Below are 17816 nucleotides of genomic sequence, written 5' to 3' on the forward strand. Positions count from 1 at the left end.
ATTACAGGCATGAGACACGGCGCCTGACCTGCCCAGCATACTTTCATTTCAATCTGAAGGACTCCTTTTAATATTTCTTCTAAGTCTAGCGTTGATTATATCCCTCATCATTTTTTTTTTCTAAATCTGGGAAAGTTTCATTCCTCTATGATTTTTGAAGGACAAATTTGCCAGATGTTATTCTCATTTGAAAAACTTTTTTTTTTAATTTCCTTGCAGCATTTTGAATATATTATCTCACTTACTTTTGGTTTGCATGATTTTTGCTGAGAATCTTGTTGATAATCTTATGGGAGTTTCTTTACATGTGGTAAGTCCCTTTTTTCTTGCTGCTTTCAAGATTTTCTTTTTGCTTATGACTTCTGAAACATTACCTTGTACATTGTTGCAGACTTCTTTGGATTATTCTCATTTGAACTTCACTGAGTTCTTGAATTTGTATGCCTATTATGCTCTGCAAAATTGGTAATTCTTTGTTCACTATTTCTCTCAAATATAATCTCTGCCCCAATATTTTACTCTTTTTTTACTAGGACTCTTATAATGCTTTATTGGTTAGCTTGATGGTGTATTTTAAGTTGTTTAGGCTGACTTCACTTTTTTATTGTGAATTTTTTCTTTAAATTTTTGCTCCCCTTCCTGAATAATTTCAAATAACCTATGTTCTTAAGTGTGTATTTTTTTTTATCTGTTTGATAAAGTCTTCTTGTGTTCTCCTCTAGTGAATGCTAAAAGTTCAGTTATTGTATTCTTCAGCTCCAGAATTTTTGCTTGGTTCTTTTTTTATAGAGTTTTACCTTTTCGTTAATGTTTTCATTTTTATAGGCACTATTTTTATTATTTTATATAGTTGTGTTCTCTCTTTGCTAATTGAGTATTTTAAAATGATAATTATGAATAATTTGACAAATAATTCATAGATCTTCATTTCCTTGAGGTTATTTTCTAGAAGTTTATTTTGGTCCCTTCATTGGGCCATGGTTTAGTGGTGTGTGTGTTTGTGTGTGTGTGTGGGGGGGGGGGTGTATGTATGCCTTGCTGCCTTGTGTTCTTTTGCTGCAATTTGGATATTTGAAAAAATAGCTGCATCTCCCATTATTTACTACTTAGCTTGATACAAAAGACTGTCTTCACCAGTCAGCCCAGCTAGAGATTCTGCAGGTCTCTCAAACCTTTTCTGGGAATGTGTCTTCTCTCAGCTTCTGTATGTAATTACCCAGATAAACTTTTTTTTTTTCTATTTCATCTTTAGGAGTTTGTAGTCTTTTGCTCCCTCTGCTGTCATTCTGTGGTAGGGCAGCCTTTTTAACACTGCCACTCGTGGTTTTGTTCTCAGTAGATCACAGGCATCCAAATTCTGCTAGTTCCTGTGATTTCTTTGAGTTAGGTGTCAGAAACTAGCCCCTTGTGCAGCCCCTCCAAAAACTAGAACATTAAAACACACTTTACTCTTCTCTTTCTTTCCTGTGGGAGAAGGTATGGCTAGGGAATTTTCTCCTAACTGTGCCATGCTGTACTGGCTGTACTCTATAGTGAGCCAATTCTGTGAAATTTCTTAGCAATTTCAATGAAGTTCTTCTTGGCTTTGCTCTTGCCTGGGGTGCTGAAATCTTTGAAATTGTTTCTGGAGTATTTTCATAAAGGCAATTTGGTATATATATATATATATATATTTGTTAAGTCCATTTCTCTGTGAAGAGGAAAGGAACACGGCTTTCCTATTCTGCCAACATCAGTCTCCCTCCACCTACACACCACATATCACTTTCAAAGGATATGTACTGACAACAAGGCAATACACTCTTATGTTCTATATTAGGTAATGAGACTATAGGCACTTATTTAAGTACTTTATACTATTTTGTCAGTTTGTAATATTTCATGTAATTTAAAAAGACTAGAAGATATGCCAAGAAATTCTTGCAATTAGAAAAAATAAAAATGGCATAGTTTTGGTGATGACATAATAATCCATTAGGCCATTATTTGATTTTAATTATAATAATTTATATAGAAATTTATATTCGTATTAATAAATGGGGTTATAATTTGATTTAAGTGTCTTCAGACCATGCTCAACCTAATGTGAACATGCTCCAAAGGTTTAGTTATAGCTGAGTAGTCTGGAATTTAAAATTTCTCTTTTTTTATAGAAACATCTTATATAAATGTATGGCTAACTGGCAAGATTCCAAAATACTAATATGTAAGTACTGACTAAGTATAAAAACAACAGAGCTGAAATATTAGTAGATAAAATGTATACATAAAATCATTAAATGTATAGTAGTCTTTAAAATCATTTAGAGGAAATCAGATGAGAAATTGATGAAGAAGTAGCAATAAGTAATATGGAAAATCTGCTTGTGGTGTTCAGGTCTATGATCGCAACCATTCTTGTGTAATTTATTTTGTTTCTTACATTGAGAAGTTGACTAAAGGCCTATAATGGCAGGGTGTCACAGAGAGTTGAGCCCATTAATATACATTTCAATAATAATACTTGTCCCATGAATCTATTAAGTATTAAATTAATTTATGATAGTCATATAACATGATTTCTGGTAAATTCACTGTAAGAAATCATATATAATAGTACACTAATGTAGCCTTATTAGAACATTTGTACATAAAAAAACAAATAATAATGATAATTTAAAACTTATTTCCTTTTGAGGAAAGCAAAACTTGAAGATAAAGCAAAATAGATTTTAAGGAGATAATTGCTGCTTATAAATAGAATGGATAAAACACGCAGAACAAAATATGAAGTGGAAGAAAAGAGCAAGACACTCATAATGCAAAAATACTTCCCTCCACAAGTTGTTTATGAAAAGAGATACCACGTATACTCATTCGCGGACTGGTGAATAGGTGACACTGTTGAGATAGATTAAAATAATATGAAAAGAGATTGTGACTAAATTCATGTACACCTGTCATGGAAACAAGAAGTGCCACCATTTTGTGAAGTATTAACACATTGGAATAACTCTTTTTTTTTTTTTTTTTTTTTTAGTTTTCCACTACTTTGATGGAAACTGTATGTAGATTTGATATACACAGACAGCTTGTATTTAATTTAGATAATAACTAATGGAATGACTGATAATTAATTAAATATCAATGAAAATAATAACTTCGTTCACTGTTTATCTAGACCTTAACCTAGTGTTTCCAATGTACTGCACATTGGAATCTGCTGGAGATCTTTATAAAACACAAAATCTGGCTCTTAATTCCAAAATCTGTTTTCATTGATATTCAAAATGGGCATCATTCTTGTCAAAAGCTCCCAAGACTGTGTCAATACACAGCAAAATTTGGAACAGCTGCCTTTATTTGATATGCAAAAAACACATATTTTCTATATATATAGGAGAAATGCAAATTTTTCTGCCTTCCCTTCTGATAACATATGAAAACATGACCCTTTCATTAAAAATATTCTTTCTCTCGCCTCCTTTCAATGATTCCCATGGGTTTTAGAACTCTATCCTTTCAGTTCCCTGTTAAAAAAGCAGAGTATCCCTGGACAATGTTGTGAGGGCAGCATAGGTGATCAGGAGAAAACATACCAAAGGCCAATGAGATTCTGATTCCAGTTATCTCAAAAGACAATGCCAAATTGAAGGCCAAGGAAAGTCTTATGAGAAACCATTACTGAGAAGCATAAAGTCTTCTATGCTACAGGTGGTCAGCTTCAGAGACCAAAGGGAGCCTCACAGTGTATGCAGGCTCGGCTGTCTGGATGGCCTCCCACCTTCACAGCATCTTAGCCAATCACTGCATTTAATTAAAGAGAATAGACAGCCTTAGAACAAATACAAACAGTTCTCTCGAGATTACAATAAAATGACAAGCATCATAGTACAAATCAGTATTAATTATTAAAAAAATTTTAAAGACATACCATATAAATTATTGTGCATTCTAAATATATACACATAATGGGGACAGGCTCATGCCTGTAATCCCAGCACTTTGGGAGGCCAAGGTGGGCGAATCACGAGGTCAGGAGTTCGAGACCAGCCTGACCAACGTGATGAAACCCTGTCTCTACTGAAAAAATTAGCCAGGCATGGTGGCATGCACCTGTAATCTCAGCTACTCAGAAGGCTGAGGTGGGAGAATCGCTTGAACCTGGAAGGCAGAGGTTGCCATGAGCCGAGATCTCATCACTGCACTCCAGCCTGGATGACAGAGCGGGACTCTGTCTTAAAAAAAAAAAAAAAAAAAATTTATATACACATCATGGCAATAATACTTAATTTTTCCTTTATATACTTGTTTTAAAACTGCAATTAATTTATAAATATACCCTTTTAAAATTTGTAAGGATTTCAAAAATTTTAGTAAGGCAATTGAGATCATTTATATCTTTAACAAATCAAGCACAAAAATTAAAACTTCAACTAGATATGCCACTAAGAATGTAAGAGATTGAACAGAATAAAAAATGTAATAGACAGGCATACCTCATTTTACTGTTCTTTGCTTTTTTTGAGCTTTGCAGTTATTGTTTTTAAAAAAATTTGAAGGTTTCTGACAACCCTGCATCCAGCAAGATTTTTAGTGTTATTTTTTCAGTATGTGTTTTCTTTGTGTTTTTGTGTCATATTTGGGTAATTTTCACAACATTTTAACTTTATTATTATTATATCTCTGATGACAATCTGCAATCAATGATTTCTGATGTTACTATTATAATTTGGCAGAGGGCTGGGGGGTACCACAATCCACGCCCATATAAGACTGCAAACATAATTGGTAAGTGTGTATATTCTGACTGTTCCACCAAATGGCCATTCTCATCTTTTTTCCCCTCTCCTTGGGCCTTCCTATTTTTTGAGACATAACAATACAATATTAGACCAATTAATAACTCTGCAATGGCCTTTACTTGTCCAAGTGAAAGGAAGAGTTGCACATCACTCACATAAAATCAAAAGCTAGAAATGAAACTTAGTAAGGAGGGCAGGTCAAAACCTGGATAGGCAGAAAGCTAGACTGCTTGCCAGTTAGCCAAGTTACAAATGCAAAAGAAAAAAAATTTAAAGCAATTAACAGTGCTATTCCAGTGAACACATAAAAGATAAGAAAGGGAAATAGGCGTATTGCTGATACGGAGAAAATTTTAGTGGTCTGGATAGAAGATCAAATTATTCTCAACATTCCCTGAAACCAAAGCCTAATCCAAAGCAAGGCCCTAACTCTCTGAATTCTATGAAGGCTGAGAGATGAGGATTCTGCAGATCAAAAGTTTGACACTAGTAGAGGTTGATTCATGAATTTAAGAAGCCATCTTCATAAAATAAGAGTGTAAGGTGAAGCAGCAAGTATTGATAAAGAAATTGCAAGTTATTAGAACAAAGGGGCTACAGGCCCCAGGCAACTCCAAAACCCAGCAGGACACTCATTAAATCTTAAAGCTTCAAAATAGTTTCCTTTGACTCCATGTCTCCCATCCAGGGCACACAGATGCAATGGGAGGGCTCTCAAGGCTTTGGGCAGCTCTGGCCCTGTGGATCTGCCTGTCTTTTTCTCATCTTCCTGTCTTTTTCTGAGCCCTCCAAACTGTTCCAACCTCTGCCCATTACCCAGCTCCAAAGTTGCTTCCACATTTTCAGGTATCTTTATAGCAACGCCCCACCTCTCTAGTTTCCTGTATTAGTTTGTTGTCACATTGTTCTCACATCTTCTGTATTACTTTGTTCTCACATTGTTCTCACATCTTCTGTATTACTTTGTTCTCACATTTGTTCCATATTGCTGTAAAGAACTACCTGAGACTGGGTAATTTATGAAGAAAAGAGGTTTAAATTACTCACAGTTTCCCAGGTTTTATAGGTGCCATGGCTGAGGAGGCCTCAGAAAACTTATAATTCTGAGAAGGTGAATGGGAAGCCAATATGTCCTACCTGACCAGAATAGGAGGAAGGTGGAGGGGAGCTGCTACACACTTTTAAACAACCAGATCTTCTGAAAACTCCATGACAAGACAGCACTTGGGGGGTTGTCCTAAACCATTAGACGTAGAATGCCCTCAAACTTCTCCATTTTACACAAACACTTGCAAATGGAAGCCCCATGAAGCCAAAAAATTGCCCCAATAGAGTTTTTCTCCTTGTCTTTCCTCATTCTTAAATTTTTTTCCCACTTTTTGTTCTTAAAAGGAGGAACCAAGCTGTGGCCTAGGGTTTTTTGTGTGGTGCATCAGTGTGTGATGATTATAAGTGAGACCCCACATGTTTTAATGTTGAGTTGTTTCTGCCTTCTTACATGTATTAGTGAATCTTTGAAATGCTTGTTCTTCAGTGCCATAAAGAAATAGCACTTGAAAATAAATTTAATTGCTTCAGCACGGCCATTTTTTTTTTAACTTTCTGCAGAAAGAGTAAACGCACCAGCAGTTTTGCCACAAGATTACACTGAACAAAGGAGACAGGGTCATTTATAACTTGATGCGTCCATCTTACTGCTGTGTCCAATTTCTATTGGCAGGAATAGGACCTCACATTCTGTATTTGTCCTGATTGGCTAACAACTTAGAACTTTAGTCAAAGGAGAACAAAGGAAGAAGGATGTAATTTGTTGAATGTTGAGAAAGGTTAAAAATATCTTCAAATAACTCTCAACAAACTAGGTATTGATGAGATGTATCTCAAAATAATAGCTATTTATGACAAACCCAAAGCCAATATCGTACTGAATGGGAAAAAACTGGAAGCATTCCCTTTGAAAACTGGCACAAGACAGGGATGCCCTCTCTCACCACTCCTATTCAACATTGTGTTGGAAGTTCTGGCCAGGGCAATCAGGCAGGAGGAATAAATAAAGGGTATTCTATTAAGAAAACAGGAAGTCAAATTGTCCCTTTTGCAGATGACATGATTGCAAAGTTAGAAAACCACATCATTTCAGCTCAGAATCTCCTTAAGCTGATAAACAACTTCAGCAAAGTCTCAAGATACAAAATCAATGGCAAAAATCACAAGCATTCATATACACAAAGAACAGACAAACAGAGAGTCAAATCATGAGTGAACTCCCATTCACAATTGCTTCAAAGAGAATAAAATACCTAGGAATCCAACTTACAAGGGATGTGAAGGACCTCTTCAAGGAGAACTACAAACCACTGCTCAATGAAATAAAAGAGGACACAAATGGAAGAACAGTCCGTGCTCATGAATATGAAGAATCAATATTGTGAAAATGGCCATACTGTCCAAAGTAATTTACAGATTCAATGCCATCCCCATCAAGCTACCAATGACTTTCTTCACAGAATTGGAAAAAACTACTTTAAAGTTCACATGGAAGCAAAAAAGAGCCGGCATTGCCAAGACAATCCTAAGCCAAAAGAACAAAGCTGGAGGCATCACACTGCCTGACTTCAAACTATACTACAAGGCTACTGTAGTAACCAAAACAACATGGTACTGGTACCAAAACAGAGATAAAGACCAGTAGAACAGAACAAAACCCCAGAAGTAATACCACATATCTACAACCATCTGATCTTTGGCAAGCCTGACAAAAACAAGAAATGGGGAAAGGATTCCCTATTTAATAAATGGTGCTGGGAAAACTGGCTAGCCATATGTAGAAAGCTGAAACAGGATCCCTTCCTTACATCTCATACAAAAATTAACTCAAGGTGGATTAAAGACTTAAATGTTAGAACTAAAACCATCAAAACCCTAGAAGAAAACCTAGGCAATACCAATAAGGACATAGGCATGGGCAAGGACTTCATGACTAAAACACCAAAAGCAATGGCAACAAAAGCCAACATTGACAAATGGGATCTAATTAAACTAAACAGCTTCTGTGCAGCAAAAGAAACTACCATCAGAGTGAACAGGCAACTGACAGAATGGGAGAAAATTTTCACAATCTACCCATCTGCCAAAGGGCTAGTATCCAGAATCTCCAAAGAACTTAAACAAATTTACAAGAAGAAATCAAACCACCCCATCAAAAAGTGGGCAGAGGACACTTGAACAGACACTTCTCAAAAGAAGACATTTATGCAGCCAACAGACACATGAAAAAATGTTCATCATCACTGGCCATCAGAGAAATGCAAATCAAAAACCACAATGAGATACCATCTCACAACAGTTAGAAAGGCAATCATTAAAGTCAGGAAACAACAGGTGCTGGAGAGGATGTGGAGAAATAGGAATGCTTTCACACTATTGGTGGGACTGTAAACTAGTTCAACCATTGTGGAAGACAGTGTGGCAATTCCTCAGGGATCTACAACTAGAAATACCATTTTACCCAGCCATCCCATTACTGGGTATATACCCAAAGGATTATAAATCATGCTGCTTTAAAGACACATGCAAACTTATGTTTATTGTGGCACTATTCACAATAGCAAAGACTTGGAACCAACTCAAATGTTCATCAATGATAGAGTGGGTTAAGAAAATGTGGCACATATACACCATGTAATACTATGCAGCCATAAAAAAATGAGTTCATGTCATTTGCAGGGACATGGATGAAGCTGGAAAACACCATTCTGAGCAAACTATCGCAAGAACAGAAAACCGAACAATTCATGTTCTCACACATAGGTGGGAATTGAACAAGGAGAACACTTGGACACAGGGACCATCACACACTGGAGCCTGTAGTTAGTGGAGTGGGGGGAGGGGGGAGTGGTAGCATTAAGAGATATACCTAATGTAAATGTGGAGTTAATGGGTGCAGCTAACAGGTGCAGCACACCAACATGGTACATATATACATATGTAACAAACCTGCACGTTGTGCACATGTACCCTAGAACTTAAAGTATAATAAAAAAATTAAAAAACAAAATAAAAATATAAAAATATAAAAGAAAAAAGTAAATGACCTATCCCTCACCCCCCCAAAAAAAATACCTTCAAATAAGGAAGAGGAACAGACTATATCCTAATGCTTGCTTTGACCAGTATAAGCATGCCAGAGTAAATATTTAGGCTCCATTGTAGGAGCTAAGAACATAAAGTACATAGATTTCTTTATTATGGCTAGCAGATATTTAAAAATGTCAGCACTGGTCTTTGAATAAATTTTGCTTCTAAGAGAACTTACTATTTATTCTTAATTAGATGGGGAGGAAAGTCTTTGAAGAGGAACTTCTACTTTAGTTTTTACAGTGAAGCAGCCTAGGGTCACTGGAGCAGTCTTGTTGTTTGAAGTATCACCAGGAGTTCTTTGTCTCAAGACCCAAAAAATTAAGGATCATGAACACCAACGGTAATGTTGGAAGAGAAGTTTAATAAGCGAAAGAGAAAAGCTGTCTACTATGAAGAGGAAGCATTCACAGTTGAATGCAGACTTTTCTATACAAAAATAAAAGCTAATGAGGCAGAGTGTTTCGTGTGCATAAGGCATGAAAAACCGGTTAGGAATGGATGTCTTATTTGCATACATACAAATTCTTGTTAGCTCCACCTCTTCCCTCTAGTGTGCATGCAGGTCCTTAGCCTGAGTTACTGCATGTTGTTTTATTTTGCTTACTGACTCTGTGTCACTGCGGACGTGTGTGGTTCTGTGTAACTTTCCTTATCTATACAGCTACAGGTCTGTCTTAGGAAAGCACCCTGTGCAAGTTCCTTTATCTGAGTATGTCAGAAAAGAAAAGGAATGTGCTCACTGAAGACCATCGTGAATAGACAGAGCTCACTGGTTGCACAGAAGACAAAGGCTTTGGACTTTTCTTCCTTACCTGCGCTTGCAGCTTGATTTCCTCCAGACTGTTATTTTTGGGGGAGGGCTTCTACCAAGAACCTTGTCCTAACTATTTGCCTAACTGGTTCCTTATTTTCTGTTCTCATTAGTTCTCTCTCCAGACGTCTATCACCTCCATGAGGTCTCAAAACACTGAGTGATCAGCTCTTACATACATTTGCTAGATGAGCTTTTTAAACTCATTGTGTTGGGGGAGTTCTCTGTTTGGCCACTATACATCGTGAAGGTTTAACACCCCAGACATTCCAAATAGGCCCCTTTCGCTTGGAGAAGCAAAATGTCCTTTCTCCTCAGTGCTGAGGAGCTCAGTCTCTCATCTCTCACTGATCTACAAAAATAATAGTTCGGCTCCTCATGCAAATGTGCAGACAAGCCATTTGAGCTTATCTTTGGGAGAAAAGGCAATGGAGAGGACCCTTTAGAATGTACTCCTGAACTATAATTAGGATTCTAAAAGACAACTTCCCAGGAGAAAAAAAAAATTCAGAAAAAAACAAGGACTATCAACCAAAGGGAGGTCCAGGGCTCAAGAAGACTTACCAGTCCCACCGAAGAAGAAGCTCAAAATTGGAGAGGCTTTCAGTGGACCTCTGTTGCTACCTTAGCTTCAAGTTCAGGCATGTTTTATGGTGTCCTGAGTTTTCTCTGAGGCCCCACATATTCAAATGTCAAGTTGTTATTGATGAAAAGAGTCAAACATTTTAAAATATTTAAAGAGTTTTATTCTGAGCCAAATATGAGTCAATGATGGCCTGTGACATAACACTCAGGAGATCCTAAGAATATTTCCCCATGGCGCTCAGGCTACAGCTTAGTTTTATGCAATTTAGAGAGACATTAGTCATCAATCAATACAGGTAAGTTATACATTGACATGGTCTGAATAGGCAGGACAACTGGGAGCAGGGGCTTCCAGGTCATAGGCTAATTCAAGGATTTTCTATTGGCAATTGGTTGAGTTATATTGTTGTCTAAAGATATAGAATTAATAGACAAGAATGTCTAGGTTAAGATAAGGGGCTGTGAATACCAAGGTTTTATCATGCAGATAAAGCGGTCAGGCAACAGGCTTGAGAGAATATAGATTGTAAATGTTTCTTATCAAACGTAATGAGTCTGTTCTATTGTCTTTAAGGTCTGTGTTGATGTTAGTGCTTGTAAGATTTTCCTGAGTTCAAAAAGCGAGGAGGGTATAATGAGGCATGTCCTATCCCACCACCCCACTTCCCATCATTGTCTGAACCAGTTTTTCAGATTAAGTTTGAAATGCTCTTTGCTGAGAGTAAGGGTCCATTTAGGTGGTTGAGGATGCTTAAAATTTTATTTTTGGTTTACATCTACATAGAGTTGTTGAATAATTAGAACATAATGATAATATTTTACCTAATGTCATTATTAGCCTTCTGCTTATTAACACAGAAACCAAAACCATGTCTTTTCTCCTATACATTTTTTCCCGTCTCAGATATTATCAGTAAATACAAATTTCAAATTAATTTCTCACATTTACTATTAACAATTTATGTTTTATTCCATAAGGTTGACATGTCTCAGTAACTAATATACAATTTTTATCATTTTCCCTGTTTCTAAACTCTTATCTTTACATATCACTCTATGTTGAGATGCAAGAATTTCTTGCTAAGGAAAAGCTCGATCTTGTGACTGTCCTTTAAAACTTGAGTAAGTAATTATTTGCCTATAAATTATCATTCAGACTAATAATTGTTTATTTAAAACTAATTTCTCCTATTTCAAACTAACTTTGTTCTGTAACGTCCTGCCCTGAACTTTCTCTGTGATCACTACTCACTGGAATGACTTTTAAATATCCTATACTTTCGTCATGCTTGTATTGATTGTGAAATGCTTCCTTTGGCAACAATAAATCCTAATGAAGCTTTCATCTCACCTCCTAAGTCAAATGTCTTACTAAAGCTTTTATTAATTATCAGATATTAAAGCAATTGTGCATTTTTCTCCTCTGAAATACTGAACACTTTGCACTTAGTATATAGAATTAATGAAAATAGTTACCCAAAGTCTCCAAGTGTATTCCCAGTAATTCTTTGTATTGTCCTTGTGAGCAAAGGATGTGAAACATGAGTTCTTCTAAACCATCTGACACCTTGGATTTAGTGTGGAATGAATGTAAATGTGGTTGTGTGCATATGTTTCTGCACATGAATTATTAAATCTAAAGAATTTTAAAAAATTTCTTTATCATCAATCCAGATAATAAAAGTATCTTTATGTGTTTTATTTCTAAGCTCTAGAAGGTTGGAACAAATTTTCCCTGATACATTGCAACATTGCATTTCTTTTTGATATCTTCAATAAATGTGAAGCTGGCAACCAACCAATGAACTTTATTTACACTTAAAATATTAATTTTTAACTTCTGTGCTTATATTGTCATTTCAATTTCATGCTTAGTAACTACAAAGCTAGTGCAGATCAGTGTGTGAGGGAAATGTCATCATGAGGCCCGAGAAGTCAGCTTTGGTATTTCGGCTCCTGCAACTCTTCTGTGCTAGTTGTGAATTCTGTGAGAAGGTCCTGGTGTGGCCCTGTGACATGAGCCATTGGCTTAATGTCAAGGTCATTCTAGAGGAGATCATAGTGAGGGGCCATGAGGTAACAGTATTGACTCACTCAAAGTCTTTGTTAATTGACTACAGGAAGCCCTCTGCACTGAAATTTGAGGTGGTCCATATGCCACAGGATAAAACAGAAAAAAATGAAATATTTGTTGACCTAGCTCTGAATGTCTTGCCAGGCTTAACAACCTGGCAATCAGTTATAAAATTAAATGTTTTTTTGTTGAAATAAGAGGAACTTTAAAAATAATGTGTCAGAGCGTTATCTACAATCAAACACTTATGAAGAAGCTACAGGAAACCAACTACGATGTAACGCTTATAGACCCTGTGATTCCCCGTGGAGACCTGATGGCTGAGTTGCTTCCAGTCCCTTTTGTGCTCACACCTAGAACTTCTCTAAGAGGCAAGATGGAGCGAAGCTGTGGGAAACTTCCAGCTCCACTTTCCTATGTACCTGTGCCTATGACAGGACTAACAGACAGAATGACCTTTCAGGAAAGATTAAAAATCCAATGCTTTCAGTTTTCTTCCACTTCTGGATTCAGGATTATGACCATCATTTTTGGGAAGAGTGTTAGAGTAAGGCATCAGGTAAGAGATTCTTATTTTATTTTTAATTTAATTATCAAAATAAATTTTTTTTAAAGTTGCCATACATCGTCTATGACACATATATGCAGGTTAATGAGTTTTTATTATAGAAAATGTTATAGCTGTTCTTCATAAAGAAAGTAGATTTGTTCTAAGTGTAAGGTAACCTACTTCCTTAATACCAGTAATAAACTTACAAATGATCATCATTAACAAGGAGATTATATTTTGTATTTCCTCCAAATAGCCCAAATCTACATCGCATATTTTTGAGAATCATTGATTGTTATTTTGACTGTTATACCATTTCTATTGAAACAAGATGCTAATCATTCTTTTCTCTCTCATCAAAAATTTCAAAAAAAAATCTTCAGAAAGTCCTCTTTGAATTATTTTCACAGAGGTGGTTAAATTGAAACATTTTCTAGAATTCTCTAATTTCTTAGTTGATTACTTCACAAAAACTTGAAAAAATATTACAAAAAGTTAAATGACTTATGGTCTTGTGGCGCATGAGATACAATTTTTACTTTACTGATATATATCTATTTGACTTATTTTTATTTCTTTGCTTTACTGATAAAAATTGTTTTACTTTGCAGTTTTCATACACCGTTGTGATCAGAGCTGGTAAATGCAAGACATGATTTTAATCCAAAAATGTTTGAGAAATATGTAGAAACATGAACAAAGGAACAGTCATAATAGACACTAAATTATTGTTTAAAGTATTCCACTGAATTCTAATACATAGATTGTTTCACAGAACTAATATTCAGAGGATCCCACTTCAAATGTCCTTAGCCTTAGACATGTTTTGAAATTACATGTATTGATTTCCTCTAATTAATTTTGTATTCAGTAAGCTCTGCCTAGCTTAACATTTTATTTCCATAAGTTGTTATGCATAGGCATATTTCATTTTATTATCCTTTGCTTTATTGTGCATCACAGAAATTGCAATTTACAAATTAAAGTTTTTTTATTATACTTTAAGTTTTAGGGTACATGTGCAAAACGTGCAGGTTAGTTACATATGTATACATGTACCATGTTGGTGTGCTGCACCCATTAACTTTTCATTTAACATTAGGTATATCTCCTAATGCTATCTCACCCCTCTCCCCCACCCCACAACAGACACCGCTGTGTGATGTTCCCCTTCCTGTTTCCATGTGTTTTCACTGTTCAATTTCCACCTGTGAGTGAGAACATGCGGTGTTTGGTTTTTTGTCCTTGCAATAGTTTGCTGAGAATGATGGTTTCCAGCTTTATCCATGTCCCTACAAAGGACGTGAACTCATCATTTTTTATGGCTGCGTAGTATTCCATAGTGTATATGTGCCTCATTTTCTTAATCCAGTCTATCATTGTTGGACATTTGGTTTGGTTCCAAGTCTTTGCTGTTGTGAATAGTGCTGCAATAAACATACGTGTGCATGTGTCTTTATAGCAGCAGGATGTATAATCCTTTGGGTATATACCCAGTAATGGGATTGCTGGGTCAAATGGTATCTCTAGTTCTAGATCCCTGAGGAATCACCACACCGACTTCCACAATGGTTGAACTAGTTTACAGTCCCACCAACAGTGTAAAAGTGTTCCTATTTCTCCACATCCTCTCCAGCACCTGTTGTTTCCTGACTTTTTAATGAACGCCATTCTAACTGGTGTGAGATGGTATCTCATTGTGGTTTTGATTTGCATTCTCTGATTGCCAGTGATGATGAGCATTTTTTCATGTTTCTTTTGGCTGCATAAATGTCTTCTTTTCAGAAGTGTCTGTTCATATCCTTTGCCCACTTTTTGATGGGGTCGTTTGTTTTTTTCTTGTAAATTTGTTTGAGTTCATTGTAGATTCTGGATATTAGCCCTTTATCAGATGAGTAGATTGCAAAAACTTTCTCCCATTCTGTAGGTTGCCTGTTCACTCTGATGATAGTTTCTTTTGCTGCACAGAAGCTGTTTAGTTTAATTAGATCCCATTTGTCAATTTTGGCTTTTGTTGCCATTGCTTTTGGTGTTTTAGACATGAAGTCCTTGCCCATGCCTATGTCCTGAATGGTATTGCCCAGTTTTCTTCTAGGGTTTTGATGGTTTTAGTTCTAACATTTAAGTCTTTAATCCACCTTGAATTAATTTTTGTATAAGGTGTAAGGAAGGGATCCAGTTTCAGCTTTCTACATATGGCTAGCCAGTTTTCCCAGCACCATTTGTTAAATAGGGAATCATTTCCCCATTTCTTGTTTTTGTCAGGTTTGTCAAAGATTAGATGGTTGTAGATGTGTGGTATTACTTCTGAGGGTTCTGTTCTGTTCCTTTGGTCTATATCTCTGTTTTGGTACCAGTACCATGCTATTTTGGTTACTGTAGCCTTGTAGTATAGTTTGAAGTCAGGTAGTGTGATGCCTCCAGCTTTGTTCTTTTGGCTTAGGATTGACTTGGCAATGTGGGCTCTTTTCTGGTTCCATATGAACTTTAAAGTAGTTTTTTCCAATTCTGTGAAGAAAGTCATTAGTAGCTTGATGGGGATGGCATTGAATCTATAAATAACCTTGGGCAGTATGGCCATTTTCATGATATTGATTCTTCCTATCCATGAGCATGGAATGTTCTTCCATTTGTTGGTATCCTCTTTTATTTCATTGAGCAGAGCTGTGTAGCTCTCCTTGAAAAGGTCTTTCACAGCTCTTGTAAGTTGGATTCCTGCATATTTTATTCTCTTTGAAGCAATTGTGAATGGGAGTTCACTCATGATTTGGCTGTTTGTCTGTTATTGCTGTATAAAAATTCTTGTGATTTTTGCACATGGATTTTGTATCCTGAGACTTTGCTGAAGTTGCCTATCAGCTTAAGGAGATTTGGGGCTGAGATGATGGGGTTTTCTAGACATACAATCATGTCATCTGCAAACAGGTACAATTTGACTTCCCGTTTTCTTAATAGAATACGCTTTATTTCTTCCTCCTGCCTGATTGCCCTGGCCAGAACTTCCAACACAATGTTGAACAGGAGTGGTGAGAGAGGGCATCCCTGTCTTGTGCCGGTTTTGAAAGGGAATGTTTCCAGTTTTTGCCCATTCAGTATGATATTGGCTGTGGGTTTGTCATAGGTAGCTCTTATTATTTTGAGATACATCCCATCAATACCTGATTTTTTGAGATTTTTTTAGCATGAAGCATTGTTGAATTTTGTCCAAGACCTTTTCTGCATCTATTGAGATAATCATATAGTTTTTGTCATTGGTTCTGTTTATATGCTGTATTATGTTTATTGATTTGAGTATGTTGAACCAGCCTTGCATCCCAGGAATGAAACCCATTTGATCATGGTGGATAAGCTTTTTGATGTGCTCCTGGATTCGGTTTGTCAGTATTTTATTGAGGATTTTTGCATCGATGTTCATCAGGGATATTGGTCTAAAATTCTCTTTCTTTGTTGTGTCTCTGCCAGGCTTTGGTATCAGGATGATGATGACCTCATAAAATGAGTTAGGGATGATTCCTTTTTTCTATTGATTGGAATAGTTTCAGAAGGAATGCTATCAGCTCCTCCTTGTACCTCTGGTAGAATTTGGCTGTGAATCCATCTGGTCCTGGATTTTTTTGGTTGGTAAGCTATTGATTATTGCCTCAATTTCAGAGCCTGTTATTGGTCTATTCAGAGATTCAACTTCTTGCTGGTTTAGTCTTGGGAGATGTATGTGTCGAGGAATTTATCCATTTCTTCTAGATTTTCTAGTTTATTTGCGTAGAGGTGTTTATACTATTCTCTGATGGTACTTTGTATTTCTGTGGGATCGGTGGTGATATCCCCTTTATCATTTTTCATTGTGTCTATTTGATTCTTCTTTCTTTTCTTATTTATTAGTCTTGCTATCAATTTTGTTGATCTTTTCAAAAAACCAACTCCTGGATTCATTGATTTTTTTGAAGGGTTTTTTTGTGTCTCTATATTCTTCAGTTCTGCTCTGATCTTAGTTATTTCTTGCCTTCTGCTAGCTTTTCAATTTGTTTGCTCTTGCTTCTCTAGTTCTTTTAATTGTGGGGTTACGGTGTCAATTTTAGATCTTTCCTGCTTTCTCTTGTGGGCATTTAGTGCTATAAATTTCCTTCTACAAACTGCTTTGAATGTGTCCCAGAGATTCTGGTATGTTGTGTCTTGGTTCTCCTTGGTTTCAAAGAACATCTTTATTTCTGCTTTCATTTCGTTATGTACCCAGTAGTCATTCAGGAGCAGGTTGTTCAGTTTCCATGTAGTTGAGCGGTTTTGAGTGAGTTTCTTAATCCTGAGTTCTGCTTTGATTGCACTGTGTTCTGAGAGACAGTGCAATTTGTTATAATTTCTCTTCTTGTACATTTGCTGAGGAGTGCTTTACTTCCAACTATGTGGTCAGTTTTGGAATAGGTGTGGTGTGGTGCTGAGAAGAATGTATATTCTGTTGATTTGGTGTGGAGAGTTCTGTAGATGTCTATTAGGTCTGCTTGGTGAAGAGCTGAGTACAATTCCTGGACATCCTTGTTAACTTCCTGTCTCGTTGATCAGTCTAATGTTGACAGTGCGGTGTTAAAGTCTCCCATTATTATTGTGTGGGAGTCTAAGTCTCCTTCTAGGACTCTAAGGATTTGCTTTATGAATCTGGGTACTCCTGTATGGCGTGCATATATATTTAGAATAGTTAGCTCTTCATGTTGAATTGATCCCTTTACCATTATGGCCTTCTTTGTCTCTTTTGATCTTTGTTGGTTTAAAGTCTCTTTTCATCACAGACTAGGATTGCAACTGCTGCATTTAAAAAAAATATTACCCAGTAGGCTGTACAACGATGCCAATACATAATGTCAAGTTGCAAGGCATGGATAA

General features: G+C 36.3%; 1 long non-coding RNA gene and 1 pseudogene across 1 annotated transcript in view, besides 1 other annotated feature; both read left to right on the top strand.

The window, feature by feature from the left end:
• Nucleotides 9839-10039: a silencer, noted in NCBI's record as "peak5051 fragment used in MPRA reporter construct". NCBI's record gives its function as "represses an SCP1 promoter by STARR-seq MPRAs in K562 erythroleukemia cells {active_cell/tissue: K562}" and the evidence as "EXISTENCE:reporter gene assay evidence [ECO:0000049][PMID:32103011]".
• LOC642474 (UDP glucuronosyltransferase family 2 member A3 pseudogene) lies at nucleotides 12197-12954 on the top strand (annotated as a pseudogene).
• Nucleotides 12681-17816, top strand: part of LOC105377267 (uncharacterized) — a 34668-nt gene continuing 29532 nt past the window's right edge. The window contains exon 1 of the long non-coding RNA NR_136191.1: nucleotides 12681-12953. This is a non-coding gene — a long non-coding RNA (uncharacterized LOC105377267). The remainder of the gene's footprint in view (nucleotides 12954-17816) is intronic.

Source organism: Homo sapiens, chromosome 4 (genome assembly GCF_000001405.40).
Source record: "Homo sapiens chromosome 4, GRCh38.p14 Primary Assembly".
Lineage (NCBI taxonomy): Eukaryota > Metazoa > Chordata > Mammalia > Primates > Hominidae > Homo > Homo sapiens.